This window comes from Homo sapiens, chromosome 17 (genome assembly GCF_000001405.40).
Source record: "Homo sapiens chromosome 17, GRCh38.p14 Primary Assembly".
NCBI lineage: Eukaryota > Metazoa > Chordata > Mammalia > Primates > Hominidae > Homo > Homo sapiens.
In genome coordinates this window covers 50,805,282-50,821,926 of record NC_000017.11, presented here as the reverse complement: position 1 = coordinate 50,821,926, position 16,645 = coordinate 50,805,282, and the positions used below count along the sequence as shown (strand labels likewise).

The window sequence follows — 16,645 nt, the reverse complement described above, 5'->3', positions numbered from 1 at the left end:
GTCCAAGTGGGACTCAGAGGGTAGAATCTCTCACCCATGCCTACACCACCACCAGGAAGGAGGCTTTGATTTTTGCCTTCTATTTCAGAAAGGCTTGCTTTGCACTTTGAACTCTGTTTTGGGTTGATCTTGGGAGTGGCGATTTGAGGGAAACAACAAAACAGTATGTAGCTAAGTGAAGAGGTAGACCACAGAAAATATATATTAGTCACTGCTCTAGCTTGCAGCAAGCAGACTGAAAGTCTCACAGGAGGCTGGGCGTGGTGGCTCACGCCTGTAATCCCAGCATTTTGGGAGGCCAAGGTGGGCGGATCATGAGGTCAGGAGTTTGAGACCAGCCTGGCAATATGGTGAAACCCTGTCTCTACTAATATACAAAAATTAGCCAGGTGTGGTGGCGAGCACCTGTAGTCCCAGCTACTCAGGAGGCTGAGGCAGGAGAATCGCTTGAACTTGGGAGGCAGGAGTTGCAGTGAGCCGAGATCGCGCCACTGCACTCCAGCCTGGGCGACAGAGTGAGACTCCGTCTCAAAAAAAAAAAAAAAAAAAGTCTCACGGGAAAGGTTCCTTTGTCCCCCTCAGATGGTGTGCGATGGGGGTATGGCTCGCTTCTTCAGTGCCCTGCTGCTCAAACTTCTAGGGGAACATACAGATGGGCAGGCTGTGGGGCTCTGACCCCACGGCAGTGTCAAGGGGTGAATGTTTACAGCTGAAGCTCCAGTGAGCGTGTGTTACAGGGTGCTCTTTCAGTTTTGCCATCTGTAGGCAGCTTGGGTTAGTCAGCTCAATTAGACCCACTACTTTGTCACTAGGACAGAGGGTTTTCTGTATCCCAGGGTTTCTTGCCTTGGTGTACCAGAAGAATCAGATCACACGTGGGCTTGGAGAATGAGTGCAAGGTTTTATTGAGTGGAAGTAGCTCTCAGCAGATGGGGGAGCCAGAAGGGAGATGGTTTTCCTCTGGAGTTGGGCCGCTTGGTGTCCCAGGCTCTCCTCCAACTGCCCCAGCCAAACTCTGCGTCCTTCTGCTGGTCAGTGGCCTGCTGGCATGCCGATGCCGGTGCCAGTGCGTTCCTCTTGACATCCAGCCGCCTGTGTGTCCCACCGCCAATATACTCCTCTAGATGTCCAGCCGCTTCTGTCTCTGCCCTGCTAGGGTCTCGGGTTTTTATAGGCACAGGATGGGGGTGTGGCAGGACAGGGTGGTCTTGGGAAATGCAACATTTGGGTGCAAAAGCAGGAGTGCCTGTCCTAACCTAGGTCCACGAGGGTGGAGCCCTCGCCAGGGAGCACAACCTTCCTCTACCCAACATTTCCCTTGCGCTGTTCCGTATCATTTAAAGGGACCACGCTCTTCCCTTCCCAGCGTTTCCATATCAAAAGCAGAAGAACCCATGACTGTCCGCATTTGGGCCAAGTGAGCATGAAATAGTTGAGGGATAGAAAGCTACTGCACATTTCATGGTGGAATGATTGGGGGCACTGCTGGGTACAGAGGATGGGCAGAAAATGGGCCAGGCTCATTCATCGGGAGCCACCAGGAGGACTTTCTGCCAGTGAGGAGCCGGGGGGAAGGCGCTTCTCTCCCTAAGTCCAGCAGTCAGACACCATGGTAGATGGCAGGAGAGGTGCTTCCCAAAGTTTGGAGAGGCTCTGTTCCTAACTCTGAGTCAGCAGAAGGAAAACAGGAGGGAATTGGAGGATAAAGAGGGGGCCCATGCAAGGGAGCCAGCCCCTTTGTGCCTGCAGGGCACAGGGCAGGTACAACCTGCCCACTGTGGCCTCAGGTACATGAGGATCAGAAAGGCAAAGACCCCACCACTGAGGGTAGAAGGTGTTAGGGTGCTGGAGTGAGGGCTCAATGCCCGAGTATCCCCTTCCCTCTGGGGTTTCTCAGGGAGGGAGTCATCTTGGTGCCTGAGCCCTGCCCCCAATGCAGAGACCCTTAGTATAGTAGACCCTGATGAACCCTGGGGCTTAGGCTTAGGCCAGGCTTCAACCTTCCAGCTTCCTTCCCCAAGGGTCCTGCCACAGGTGGAGAAGATGGGCCAGAAAGAAAGGGTGGCCAGCCCCTACACTCCCCCAGCTAACTCATCACTGGGACAGTGCCTCCAGGTCTGGCTGCCACGAGGGAGACGTGAAAGAAAGAGAGGACGTAGAGAGAGGCCTCTATCAAGGCCACGTGCCTCTGAAAATCCAGTCACCGCATTCATGAGTAAATTCTGAGTGATGGATGTTCTTGACCCCCACCAAGTAAAATGAGCCACCCTGCCCCCACCACACCCTCTCCACCTTCCACCCTGTTACAACTGAGGAGGTGTCCCTCCTATTTAAGGTCAATGCTGCCAACAATGTGTTGGATCCCAACACTTCCCTTTCTTTCCACCTCCTTAGGAACTTTATACCATCAATTACGCCTTCTGTCTCCCAAATACCTGCCACCTTTATACACATTCATGTCTCTCTTATCCTCAACAGATCATTACATCATTCCTTCCACCCCGTATTCCCCCTCCATGAACAGCCCTGCCTCTTTCTACCTTCCAAGTCAGTCCGCATCCTGGCTCCATTTTCTCACCTCCCAAGTCCCTGAACTCATTCTCCTGAACTCTGTGATCCAGCCTCCCACACGTTACTTTGCTGACAAGCCTGCTGCTAAAGTCACCTGCTGCTAAAGTCACCTGCTGCTAGTGACTACCATGGCCCTAAATGACACAACCAGTCCTCGTTTTCTTGCCTTTCTGCAGCTTGTGACCTGTTGACCACATCCTCCTTCCTGACCACTCTCCCCCTACATCTGTGTTGTGACCTTTTTTCTCCTGGCTTTCTACCCACTTCCCTGGTAGCTTCTTCTTCATCTCCTTTACAGAAGCTTCCCCTTCCACCCAGACATTGCACCCTAGCCCCAAACAGTTAATATATCAGTTGCCAGAGTGGTTGCCATGTGTGGTAGATTTAAGAAGCTCCTAGGTGGCCAGGCGTGTAGTGACTCATGCCTGTAATCCCAGCACTTTGGGAGGCCAAGGTGGGTGGATCACTTGAGGTCAGGAGTTCGAGACCAGCCTGGCCAACATGGTGAAATGCCATCTCCACTAAAAATAACAAAAATTAGCCAGGTGTGGTGGCACATGACTGTAATCCCAGCTACTCGGGAGGCTGAGGCAGGAGAATCGCTTGAACCCAAGAGGCAGAGGTTACAGTGAGCCGAGATCATGCCACTGTACTCCAGCCTGGGCGACAGAACAAGACTCCGTCTCAAAAAAAATAATAAAAATAAAAATAAAAAATTAAAAAAAAACTCCCAGGTGATTTTTACTTGCAGCCAGGGTTTCGAGCCACTGCCTTCAAAGTTGTATCTGCAGCTCCTGGAACACCGAAAGACAACTCTGTTCCCCAGAAGGCATCCACCCAGATCCAGTGATTCCTTCTCCATTTGCATATGAGCCATTCCGGAGACTGACACAGAAGTTATGCAGGGCCTTCCCCTATCCGTAAATAATCTGAATACATCTTTCCATAGTGGACTAATTAGGGAAGTAGTTCTCTTTGAGACCTTAGTCATATATCTAGAAACAAACTTATATTTTTATCTCTTGAATCATGAATTTTAAAGAAAATCTAGAATGCTAAAATGCCTATGCCCAAATTATGATGTTTTGGTTCAGTTCTCTGCTTCCCTCCGCCCCCCACCAGAATTGTCACTGCTCTCTGCTTTCTGACTTCCTGTCCCCGGGGAATTTTCCTGCTCATCCTGCTAGTCTCCACTGAGAAATCACCTCTTCCTGGTGATTCCCCAAATTCGAGCCAGGTAAGCCAGGCATCCACTTCTGTGATCCCACCCTGAGCTGATCGTAGCGTTTTGCTTTTCCTAGCATTCATCACATTGGAATGTATTGACACGCCTCCCCAGCCAGACCTCAAGGCAGGAACCGTGTCTTATTCACCAAGGTATATCTGGTGCCTGGCATAGGGCGTTCTATAAAGTTCTATTGAACTAATGAATGAATGAATATTTTTCAGGTGTAAACATAGAATAAGCCATTTCTCTGTGGTTGGTTCACCTGAATGGATTGATTAAAAGGAGAGATGAGCCCGCAAGCAAGACGGTGCAGCGTAGAAGGCAGAAGCCTGATGTCTGCAGATCGTGAACTTGAAGGAGGGCCGTGTGGAGTCCCAAGCCTGGGCATGAGAATCACCTGGAGGCCTCATGGACTCTGTCCTGGTCCCACTGGGATCATGTCCAGGAATTTGCCTTTTCACACGCTCCCTGGGTGGTTATGAGGCGGCCAGTACAGCACTAGCTGCATCCCAAAATTGGGGAGCCGTCCAGACTCCCCAAGGGCAAGTAATCCTCACTCAAATATGTGTGAAGTAAACCGAGGAAGAAGACACCGCAGCAAGGTGGAAATTCACAAGCAGCCCAAGTAGGAGAAATTCACAAGCAGCCCTGGTAGGAGAAAGGCCCCTGGAACCCGACTTGTCTCAGCGCCCCCTGCTGGGGGGAGCCCCGCGTGGGCTCAACCCGTGTTGCTGACCGCGGCACCGTGGGGCACGGAGCCCTCACCCTCCCCTGACCGAGGAGGGGACCTCCTGTCTCCGCGGGGAGGTTTGAAGAAGCTGCCTGAGGCATAAAGAATGTGGGGCTGTAGGGCAGAAAGCTCGGACGCTGGATAATCTCACCCGTAATGACCCCGTGGCTGTCAGCCCTACAGCACTCACCTCAAGCCTTCACCACGGTGTGGGAAACCACAGATGGGGTTGACAGATGATTCAGGGGCTGCAGCACCCCCAGCCACACCCCAAGGAGCTGGCATCGTTGTGCTCCTGGTTGAATTTTTCCAGCCCCCGGCATATACCTGCCCTGCCATGGAGCCTCCACTCCCTTCCACTTCCTTCAAGAACAAATATAGAAATGTGGTCCATCCACACAATGGAATATTACTCAGCCTTATAAAAGAAGGAAGTTCTGATACACACTACAACGTGATGAGCCTTGAAGACATTATGCCACGTGAAAGAAGCCAGACACAGAAGCCCACATATTGATTCCATTTATGTGAAATGTCCAGAACAGGCAAATAGGTAGAGACAGAAAGCAGGTTAATCGTTGCCAGGCTGAGGGAAGCAGGGAATTGGGTAGGGAGGCCTGCTGATAGGTCACAAGTTTCCTTTTGGGATGGTGAAGATATTCTAGAACTAAATCATGGTGATGGCCACACAATGTTGTGAATGGACTAAATGCCACTGAACTGTACAACTTAAAATTACCACTTCAGGTAAATTTTACATTACATGCATTTGACTGCAATTAAAAGAACAGATATGATTGCTCAGGCTTAGATGGTCCCCTGGCTCTAAGAGGACGCCCAGGGCTTGGGCACCAATGGCCACCCAAAGGCAACTGTATAGAAGTTTAGCCCAGGGGCAGTCAGTTCCCCAAACCAGGTCAGCGGCCATAGCCCTCAGAAACAGGAAGTACCACTGTCCCTCCCAGCCATTGACCATCAACAAACCACGTTGAACACCCATTCCGTGCTGCTCCAGAGACAAGGAAGAAGCGGGGAGGAACAGGTGTGGAAAGGGGAGGAGTGAAGATTCTATTTGGACAAAGCTAAATTCAAGATGTGAATTTTTGACTGAGCACAGTGGCTCATGCCTATAATCCCAGCAGTTTGGGAGGCTGAGGAGGGCAGATCACCAGAGGTCAGAAGTTGAAGACCAGCCTGGCCAACATGGCCTATCTCTACTAAATATACAAAATTAGCCAGGTGTGGTGATGAGCACCTGTAATCCCAGCTACTCGGAGGCTGAGGCAGAAGAATTGCTTGAAGCCAGGAGGCAGAGTTTGCAGTGAGCTGAGATTGCACCATTGCACTCTAGCCTGGGCAACAAGAGTGAAACTCCATCTCAAAAAAAAAAAAAGATACTAATTTTTTATTTATTTATTTTTGAGATAGGCTGCTCACTGCAGCCTCAGGTGAGACTCCGTCTCTACAAAAATATTTAAATATTAGCCAGGCCTGGTGGTGTGCACCTGCTACTTGGGAGGCTAAGGTGGGAGAATCACTTGAACCCAAGAGGTTGAGCTGTGACCACGCCACTGCACTCCAGCCTGGGTGACAGAGCAAGACCCTGCCTCAAAACAAAAGAAAGATATTTACAGCCATGGCCTTGGCACTGTCACCAGGTGGGTGAAGAAAAGGACCTGTCCCAAGGCCCAGGATACTGCTACATTTAGAGGTCTAGAGAAGGAGGAAACAAGCAAAGAAGAGGAAATCCAGCAGCCGGTGAATAGGAGGAAAGCCAGGAGATGGTGGAATCACAGAAGGCAAGGAGACAAAGCACTTAGAGAAGGAGGAAGTGGCCATGCTTTGGTTAACGCTGCTAGGAAGTGGATAGAGGAGGGCAGAGTTGTGGACCCCGGGTTGGCAGAGGGGATCCAGGTGCAGTGCCAAAAGCTTATACAGTATTGGGAGATGGGCAGGCTCTCCTTATGAAAAATAATATAAACTTACAAGTAAAAGTGTGCGTTCAAGTTTTTAGAATATGAAAAAAATCACAAATTACACATTTTTAAAAACTGATAACACCCACCTCAGCAAATCTAGAAAATTAACATAATATTCTTATAATTAAGTGCCTGACTATAATCCTTTCCTTCCTACATTTTGACTACCTACTCTTTGATTGCCTTTTCATATTATAATGATTTTGTAATATGAATTTTTATAGAAAAAAAGAAAAATAATCAATTCTATTTTTCTTTTTATTATGAGAATTTAATACTTTTTTTCACCTTTGCAATTCATATTACTAATGCCGTGAAAATGTTTAGGGTTGTTTAGGATTTGTTGTCAAACTTGGGGCAACCTGTACCAAGCTTCTTTCAACAATGAGCCAATAGGGAGAAACAACTCAAGCGTCCATCAACGGATGAATGAATAAACAAATGTGGTATATCCAGACAATGGAATATTATTTAGCCTTAAAAAGGAATGAAGTTCTGATATATACTACAACAGGGATGAAACCTTTTTAATTTTCTTTTCTTTTTTGTAGAGATGTGGTCTTGCAATGTTGCCCAGACTGGTCTTGAACTCCCGGCCTCAAGTGATCCTCCCTCTCAGCCTCTCAAAGTGCAGGCATGAGTCACTACATCCAGCCAACATAGGTGAACCTTGAAAATATTATGCTAAGTGAAAGAAGTCAGACACAAAGGACAAAGACTGCAAGATTCCACTTATCTGAAGTATCTAGTGTAGGCAAGCTCACTGCAGCCTCGACTCACTAGGACTCAGGTAATCCTCCCACCTCAGCCTCCCAAATAGCTGGGACTACAGGCACGTACCACCACACCCAGCTAATTTTTCTATTTTTTTGTAGAGATGGGGTTTTGCCAGGTCGTCCATGCTGGTTTCAAACTCTGGGGCCCAAGCGAGTCACCCGCCTTGGCCTCCCAAGGTGCTGGGATTACAGGCATGAACCACTGCACTCAGCAGCAAATTCCTTATTGCAGGAAAATCTATGAATCCTCCTTTCTTCCTCCTCCCTATCCAAGAGGCCACCAGATCCTACTGGTGGTGCCTCTAAAATATCTGTTGCCTGTCTTCTCTCTGTCTTGCTTGTTACGAATTAGTTTATTATGCCATTGCCCTGTCTGGGATTGGCTCCCCTACTCATCCCTCTGCCCTCTGGCTCCAGCATCTCTGTCACCAGGAGTCATAGTCTTCCCCTGAGGACCAACCCCAGGGCCTCTTAGCTTCATCTTCCTTCTCCTCCTCCTCCCAGGGATCTGCTCCAAGATGATGGATGTGACCAGGCCTCTCTGTGGGAGCTGCCACCTCCTCCTGGCCATGTTGCCTTGTCTCTCTCCTCATGGTCACAACATGGCTGCAGCAGTTATTCTATCTATCTATCTATCTATCTATCTATCTATCTATCTATCTATTCTAATCTATCATCTATCTATCCATCATCTATCTAATCTATCTATCATCTGTCTCTTATCTATCATCTATCTATCTAATCTGTCATCTATACTTCATCTATCTAATCTATCATCTATCTATTATCTATCTATCTAATCTATCATCTGTCTATCCATCATCTATCTATCTAATCTATCACCTATCATCTATTATCTACCTATTATCTGTCATCTATCTATCTAATCTATCATCTATCTAATCTATGTATTTATCTAATCTATATATCTATGCATCTATCTATGTATCTATGTATCTATCATCTACCTACCTATCTATCTATCATCTATCCATCCACTCATTCACCCATCTATAATGAATTTTACTCACATGAAGATAATAAATACTCAAGACTCATCCCTTCCTAATTCTTCTACTACCTGGCTGGAACTAGAAAAGGAATGAGAGTGAGCATACCGTCAGCAGAAGGGATGCCTACACTAACAGCCGTTAGTTAGCATCATTCAAAAGTCCTCTTGATCTGGTTCCTGCCTACTTCTCCAGCTCCGTGTCACACCCCTCGCCCTGTTGGACACAGTTCCACGCCATACTGGGCATCCTTCAGTTCCTGGAATCCGCCAAACTCTCACCCACCCCTGGGGGTTTTTCCTGCCACTGACTTCTAACCTCTGCTGGGTCTTGGTTCAGATACCACTTTCTCCAGGAAATCTTCTGCGACCTTCGGACTGGGTTGTTGACCACCTATGAGCTCCCATATCTGTCTCTATTTTATTTAATAAATATGTATTCGCCACCTCATCTGTGCCAAGACCTACTGCTCCATTGCTTGTTCTTGTCTGTTTCCCACTGGAACATACGCCCTGCAGGGGCCAGCATCGCATGCACCTTCCTCATCAGCATGTCCTGTGACAGCTAACAGCACGCAAAGCACAGGCCACAATGCCACACATTTTTGTTGGAGAAGAAAAAATGAATTAATTGTTTTAGTTGAGGTGAAATTCACACAACGTAAAATCAGCCATTTTAAAGTGAACAATTCGTGGCCGGGCAGAGTGGCTCACACCTGTAATCCCAGCACTTTGGGAGGCCAAGGTGGGCGGATCACCTGGGGTCAGGAGATCGAGACCAGCCTGGCCTACATAGCAAAACCCCGTCTCTACTAAAAATACAAAAATTAGCCAGGTGTGGTGGCATGCACCTGTAGTCCCAGCTACTAGGGAGGCTGAGGCAGGACAATTGCTTGAACCCAGGAGGCAGAGGTTGCAGTGAGCCGAGATCATGACACTGCACTCAAGCCTGGGCAACAGAGCAAGATTCTGTCTAAATAAATGAATAAATGAAGTGAAGAATTCAATGGTATTTCGTACAGTCACAGTGTTGTACAACCACTGCCTCTGCCTGGCTCCAAACATATCCATCACCCTCCAGGAAACCCTGCACCCATTAAGCTGTCACTCCCCACTCCTCCCTCCTCTTGGGTTCAAGTGATCCTCCCATCTCAGCTCCTGAGTAGCTAGGACTATAGGCACGCACCACTACACCCAGATAACATTTCGATTTTTTGTGGACTGTGTTGCCCAGGCTGGTCTCAAACTTCTGGGCTCAAGAGATCCTCCTGTCTTGGCCTCCCAAAGCACTGGGTTTACTGGCATGAGCCACTGTGGCCGTCTTGTTCTTCATTTTTAAAAGGAGACAAAAAATAAGGCAGTTGTGTCACTTTGCCTCTGAGTCTGAGGGTCTGATGCCTGGAACTATAGGAACTCTCTCTGAGGCCAGGAGCGGCAGCTCACGCCTGGAATCCCAGCACTGTAATCCCAAGGCAGAAGGATCGCTTGAGCTCAGGAGTTTGAGACCAACCTCAGCGACATAATGAGACCCTGTCTCTACAAAAAAATAAAAAACATCAAACATCAGCTAAGCATGGTGGTATGTGTTGTAGTCCCAGCTACTTGGGAGGCTGAGGTAGGAAGATTGCTTGAGCCCAGGAGATTGAGAGATGGAGGCACAGTGAGCCAAGATCGCACCACTGCACTCCAGCCTGTGCAACAGAGCAAGACCCTGTCTCAAAAAAAAAAAAAAAAAAAAAAAAAGAAACCGTCCTTGAGTCCAGGTGAGCAGCCCAAGAGGACAGGCACGAGGCGAAGGGGACAAGGAACCAAATGAGTTTTCGGTGGTGTCACAGAGCTGCTACATTTACCAACCTTGGGCCTGCCCTTACTCCAGGAAGGGTTTCAAATTTGCAATGTTTCATATATGCAAGCACATCACTGATTCATCTTTCTGCGGGTGCTTTATGCTGCCCTTTGCTCTGTCACTCCCCGTCTGTGGCCCTCAGGTCCCTCTGTCAACTCTGCACATCCTTGCAGAAGCTCTAGTTCCTCATCACTGTTCCAAGCCTCTCTCCACCCCACGCTTGTTTTAGCATCAGAGTTGCCCCTCTCCTGTTCCACTCCATCAGGAAGGAAGTCACCATGAAGCCCCACAGAACAGTGTCACCAGGTCTATACACTGGGTATGAAATGGTTAAGCTTGGGTTGTGCTGGGTGGGTGAGGGGGAAGGGGATTCACTTGGAGTTGATGGATCCCTGCACAAGGAGGAGATCTTTTTGATTGTCACTCAACTGGAAAGTTGTTCTCTTCCTGCCATAAGTCAGGGTGGTCTACACAGCCCCTCCTATGGCTGGGAGTGGTGCAGAGACAAAGCCCAGAGAAGTGTCCAGTGGCTGGAAGCCACAGCAGGGGAGAGAAAATATTTTACCATGCTCAGCCTCCTGCAGATGGGGTAGGAAGAGCCCCCAGAACGTCAGAGCACAGTGGATGAGGCTAATCAAGTGATGAGGCTGGGGCTGTAGGAGATCAATGCCAGGTGGCTAGGAAGTGTGTGTGCTGTGCTTGCCCAGTGCGGGCCACTGAAAACAGACAGGAGGGTCTGTGGACAACACAGAGCCAGGAGAACCAAGGACAAGAGGATCCCAAAGGCCAGCCTGGATGGGGCACTTTACTCAGGCTCCTTGTGCTGCGGCCGTGCTGGTCTTTTCTGGGCAAGTGTTTGCAATTAAGACCCAAACTGCCTTCCCAGTTACTTGCAATCATGCAACTATACAGTGTGCATTGGGTCAGCCATGCTCCTGGAATCTTGTGAAGTCCCCCAAGTCCCTTAGGCAGACTCATCAGTTATCTCTGACCACCTTCTTTCCCTCTCTTCACCTTCCAGCCAGTCACCAAGTCCTCTCAAGTCTGCCTAGGAAAACATACACACAGCCGGGTGCAATGGCTCATGCCTGTAATCCCAGCACTTTGGGAGGCTGAGGCGGGAAGGTCACCTAAGATCGGGAGTTCGAGACCAGCCTGACCAACATGAAGAAACCCCATCTCTACTAAAAAATACCAAAAAAAAATTAGCTAGGCATGGTGGCACATGCCAGTTATCCCAGCTACTCGGGAGGCTGAGTCAGGAGAATCACCTGAACCCAGGAGACGGAGGTTGCAGTGAGTAGAGATCGCACAATTGCACTCCAGCCTGGAGTGCAATGCAAAACTCCATCTCAAAAAAAAAAAATGGGAAAAGAAAAACACACACACACACAGACATACAAATACACATATATATACACAAATGCATGCACACACACTCACACACACACGTATATGTACACATGGATACAAACACACAAATGCAGGTAGACATATACAAACACACATACAAACATGCAAATACATGTACACACATACACAAAAGCAAATACACACATGTACACAAGTACATACACATATACATACACTTAAACACAAATATGTAGGCATGCACACACATACATACACATGTGTTAGGCACATACTTGGGGTGCTGGTTAGAAATGGAGATTCCTTCATCTCACCCCATCTAGGCTGGAGGATTGGGAAGCTGAGAGGAAAGTCTAAATCTATCTTAGTCTGCTTCTGCTGCTATATCAAAATACCACAAACTGGGTAATTTATGAACAACGGAAATGTATTTCTCCACCAAGTACAGTGGCTCACACCTGGAACCCCAGTGCTTTGGGAGGCTGAGGCAGGAGGATTGCTTGAGTCAGGAGTTTGAAACCAACTGGACAACATAGCAAGAGCCCATCTCTATAAAAATTTTTTTTTTAATCTTTTTAAAGAAATGTATTTCTCCCAGTTCTGGAGGCTGGGAAGTCCATCTCCACGTGCCTGCAAGATTGGTGTCTGGGGACAGCTACTGTCTGCCTCCAAGAGGGCACGTGTTGCTGCAACCTCCAGAGGAAGCGAACATTGTGTCCTCACAAGGTGAAAGGGGTGGAAGGGCAAGAGGAGCTCTCTTCAACCTTGAGCCCTTTAATAAGAATAATAGGCCCTCAAGACTTAATCACCTCCCAAAGGCCACACCTCTTAATACTGTTGCATTGGGGATTATGTTTCAACATGAATTTTGGAGGGGATACCATCATTCAAACCATATTAAAACTTCCTTTTCAGAGCCCTAAAGCTGCTCCTGCGCCACACAGCAAGCTCTGCATATAAACAGGCCTCCAGATTGCATGGTACTTTCACAGCCTCCGTTCTGAACTACCAGCCTTGACCTCCCTTCCTGGTTTCTAAATTCCTATTTATTCTACTATCAATAGCCTTATTCCACCAGAGCCTGACACTCGGCCTTGTTTCTCTGAGAACTCTTTCCTGTTCCCCCACAATCCAGACTGTAGCTCTGGCTCCAGATGCCTTTATCTCCTGGAAAGGCACGAGTCTACAAGTGCACAGCCCCAACAGTACTGACCTCAACCCTACAAGCAGGATTTTGGTCCCTCAGAGAACCTATCAATGTCACCTGGCTAGGAACAGGGGATCCAGTGAACTGAAAGAACGTTGCCAAGTTCACCCAACTCCAAGACAGCAGCAGGAAGGATCTCTCCTGGCCCCATTCCACAAGGGCTACCGTTCACCCAGATTAGCCTCTCTTGGTGTGAGCTGGAGTCCACAAAGTTGAGGTCTCTTTCTCTCTCTCTCTCTCTCCCTCTCTCTCTCTCTCCCCCAGTACCTAAGGCAGAAGTTCTCATGCTTTAGTGTGCTAGAGATTCCCTCAGTATCTTCCCAGATCCCTGGCCGTGCCCAGGCAACCAGCAGACTCTCTGGAGCTTGAGATTCAGGCGCATGTGTTGGGCAAGGGAGCAAGAAAGGGAAGAAGACAGAGTTGGTGACTTATGCGGCTCAGAAAGAACCCAGGAATCTTTGTTGAGGTTGTCGCTGGGATAGTGGTGCAGATGTGGCTGGGGAAGGCCCGGCCAGCCCCTGTGGGACCGTCTCACTTGGTGCACAGGACACCTAGTGATGGTCATCAGTGCGCCAGCGTGGAGAAGTCTTCCCATGGGCGCATGGCATGGACCAGCCAGGACCTCTCAGAAGCCAAAAAAGGCCCAGCCCACTCCCCTTTTCTGAGGGTCCCAGTATATTTTTTAAAGTCAAGACATTTCAAAACAGAGTTTCTAAAATTATGGCATATTTTAAATGTCTTAGTTATTAGTGCTTTTGATGCATATACACACAAACAATGAAATATTTTCTCTGCCTAAAAGAAGTATGATAATATAGTTTTGAGTGATGCAAAATGCCAGAAGGTTTGCAGCAAAATTACATTTATTTTACATTTTCTTTCTTTCTTTTTTTTTTTTTTTTTTTTTTTTTGAGACAAGGTCTTGCTCTGTCACCCAGGCTAGAGTGCAGTGGTGTGATCATAGCTCACTGCAGGCTCCGCCTCCTAGGCTCAGGTGATTTTCCTGCCTCAGCCTCCCAAATAGCTGGGATTATGGTGCTTGCCATCAAGCCTGGCTAATTTTTGTATTTTTAGTAGAGACGGGGTTTCACCATGTCGGGCAGGCTGGTCTCAAACCTCTGACCTCAAGTAATCTGCCCACCTCGGTCTCCCAAAGTGCTGGGATTACAGGCATGAGCCACTGTGCCTGCCCTAATTTTACATTTTTAATAAGACAGAATTTTATACTAATGATGGTTTCATGATAACTATATTAGTTTCCGGTGGCTGCTGTAACAAATTGCCAGAAACTCAGTGGCTTCAAACAACAGAAATTTACTTTCTCACAGTTCTGGAGGCCAGAGTCCGAAATCCATTTTCACTGGGCCAAGGCTCACAGAGAGAATCCGCCCCTGGCTCTTCCAGCTTCTATTGGCTCCCAGCACCCTGACCACCTCACTCCAGTTTCTCCCTCTGTGATTCGTTGCCTCCTCCTCCTCCTCCTCCTCTTCTTCTTCTTCTTCTTTTCTTTTCTCTTTTTCTTTCTTTTTTTTTTTTGAGTCAGTGAGTCAAGGTCTGATTCTATCACCCAGGCTGAAGTGCAGTGGTGCAACCTCTGGCTCCCAGGCTCAAGCCATCCTCCCATCTCAGGCTCCCAAGTAGCTGGGACTACAGGTTTGCACTACCATACCTGGCTAATTTTTGTAGAGACGGACGGGGTTTTGCCATGTTGCACAGGCTGGTCTTGAACTCTTGACCCAAGCTATGGAACCCACCCATTGTGCGGGTAACCGTCTCACACACATCTTCTCCCGAGTCTCCAAGCTGCAAGCTCCCATGTGTTTGTCTGAAGGAAGCTCATCTTTTTTCTTATTATTGTGATGAAACACACATAATATAAATTTTACCATTTTAACCATTGTAGGTATGCAATTCAGTGGCATCGAGGACATTCACATTGTTGTGCAACCATCACCACTACCTAGTTCCAGAACTTTTTCATCATCCCCAAAGGAAATCCATTAGCCATCACTCCCATTCCCCCTCCCCACAGCCCCTGGCAACCGCAAATCTGCTTCCTGTCTCTGTGGATTTGCCTATCTAAACATTTCACATAAATGGAGTCATACAATATTGGCCTTTTTGTGTCTGGCTTCTTTCATTTAGCATGAGGTTTGCAGGGTTCATCTATACTGTGGTGGGTGTCAGTACTTCACTGCTTTACATGGGTGAATAATATTCTGTTGTTTGTTGGTTCTTTTTTTTTTTTTTTTGAGATGGAGTCTCACCCTGTCACTCAGGCTGGAGTGCAGTGGTTCGATCTCGGCTCACTGCAGCCTCCGCCTCCCGAGTTCAAGTGATTCTCCTGCCTCAGCCTCCCGAGTAGCTAGGATTACAATTGTGCACCACCACGCCTGGCTAATTTTTGTATTTTCAGTAGAGACAGGGTTTCACCATGTTGGCCAGGCTGGTCTCAAACTCCTGACCTCAAGTGATCCACCCACCTCGGCCTCCCAAAGTGCTGGGATTACAGGCATGAGCCACTGCGCCCAGCCTGTTGTTTGTAGGTTCTACATTGTGTTGATTCATTCATCAATTTTTGGATATTTGGATGGTTTTCTACTTTCGGCTGTTTCTGGCCAGAGCCCCACAGCGCCCCCTCTAGACCCTCCATACTCATCTCTGAGTGAGGCAGTCATGCAGCCAGCGGGCCTCCAAGCTTCTGTGCCAAGTCAAACAAGAGTTTGACCCTAATCCAACACAGAGAAAATTTGGCAACGCTAAGCCAAGTTCCTTGGTGAGGCGCACATTTGCCTCTTGATCTGCCGCATGCCCTCTTCAGGGAACACCCTTTCTTCCTGGGGGCAGCTTCTCCCCCTATTCCAACCACGTGGCCCTAGTGGGGCTGCCATGCCATCCCGGAACCCTACCTGATGCAGGGTCTCTGCAGCTCAGCCTTTCCCACATGCGGAGCGGCCAAGTGTGCAGCTGAAGTTTTTGGTTGATTCTAGCAAATTCCCCCTTTCTGCCCAAGCTGGCTCATGTTGGATTTTGTCACTTTCAAGCCAGAGTCCTCACGGGGGCAGCTCCATCTCCCACCACAAATCCCAGGTGCTCCCTGAAGTGGAGAAAATGGGGCATCCTGCCTGGGCCCAGACTAGCACCCCCCCACAATATAATAACTCTGTGGGGTCCCCAGGTGTTTCATTTAACTTTGAGCTTCCTGGATGAACAGCATGGAGCTCCAATATTCATAAAAACTGGACCTCTGGGGCACGCCCAGGCTTGTCGAGACCCTGGAGGTCAGAAAGTGCAAGAAAGTTCTCCAGGTGTTCCTTGGACAGTTTGCACCTGGTAACTGACCCTTGGCTTGTGGGATTCCCCCCACCCCATGTCATTCCCCCCACCCCATGTGGCTAATGAATGGATCCTGCAGGGAGTCACCATTCGCCTGGATAACGTCCTTGGGTGCCGTCCAGTGGGGCCTGGAAAAAGTTGCTGGCTTAGGCAGCATCGCCTCCAAGCCAGCTGTTCCTAAGGACTGTGTTCCCACATGCAGAACACCTGGGCCCTCCTCTGTCCAGCCAGGACTTCTGCGTGTGCTGAACTGGCTATTGACACTTCCTAGGTAGATTCCCCAGTGTCTGTCTGACCAGCAACCCTCCTCACCTCCTCCTCAGAACTTATTGTGGAATCAGAAAGTATAAGATTTCCCCTTGGGGACGAGTAGTACAGAATGAGTCCAGGTGTGGTGGCTCACACCTGTAATCCCAGCACTTTGGGAGGCTGAGGCAGGGGATCACTGGAGGTCAGGAGTTCAAGACCAGCCTGGCCAACATGGTGAAACCCTGTCTCTACTAAAAATACAAAAGTTAGCTGGTCATGGTGGTGTGCGCCTGTAGTCCCAGCTACTCAGGAGGCTGAGGCAGAATTGCTTGAATCTGGGGGG

At 48.5% G+C, this 16,645-nt stretch overlaps 3 annotated features.

Annotated features, from left to right (window-relative positions):
* Positions 2,578 to 2,637: an enhancer, noted in NCBI's record as "active region_12391". NCBI's record gives its function as "activates an Ori minimal core promoter by ATAC-STARR-seq in GM12878 lymphoblastoid cells {active_cell/tissue: GM12878}" and the evidence as "EXISTENCE:reporter gene assay evidence [ECO:0000049][PMID:35858748]".
* Positions 4,241 to 4,320: an enhancer, noted in NCBI's record as "active region_12390". NCBI's record gives its function as "activates an Ori minimal core promoter by ATAC-STARR-seq in GM12878 lymphoblastoid cells {active_cell/tissue: GM12878}" and the evidence as "EXISTENCE:reporter gene assay evidence [ECO:0000049][PMID:35858748]".
* Positions 15,539 to 15,760: a silencer, noted in NCBI's record as "fragment chr17:48883528-48883749 (GRCh37/hg19 assembly coordinates)". NCBI's record gives its function as "represses an EF-1alpha promoter that drives an FKBP-Casp9 reporter gene in an ReSE screen in phorbol 12-myristate 13-acetate-treated (for megakaryocytic differentiation) K562 erythroleukemia cells {active_cell/tissue: K562(+PMA)}" and the evidence as "EXISTENCE:reporter gene assay evidence [ECO:0000049][PMID:32094911]".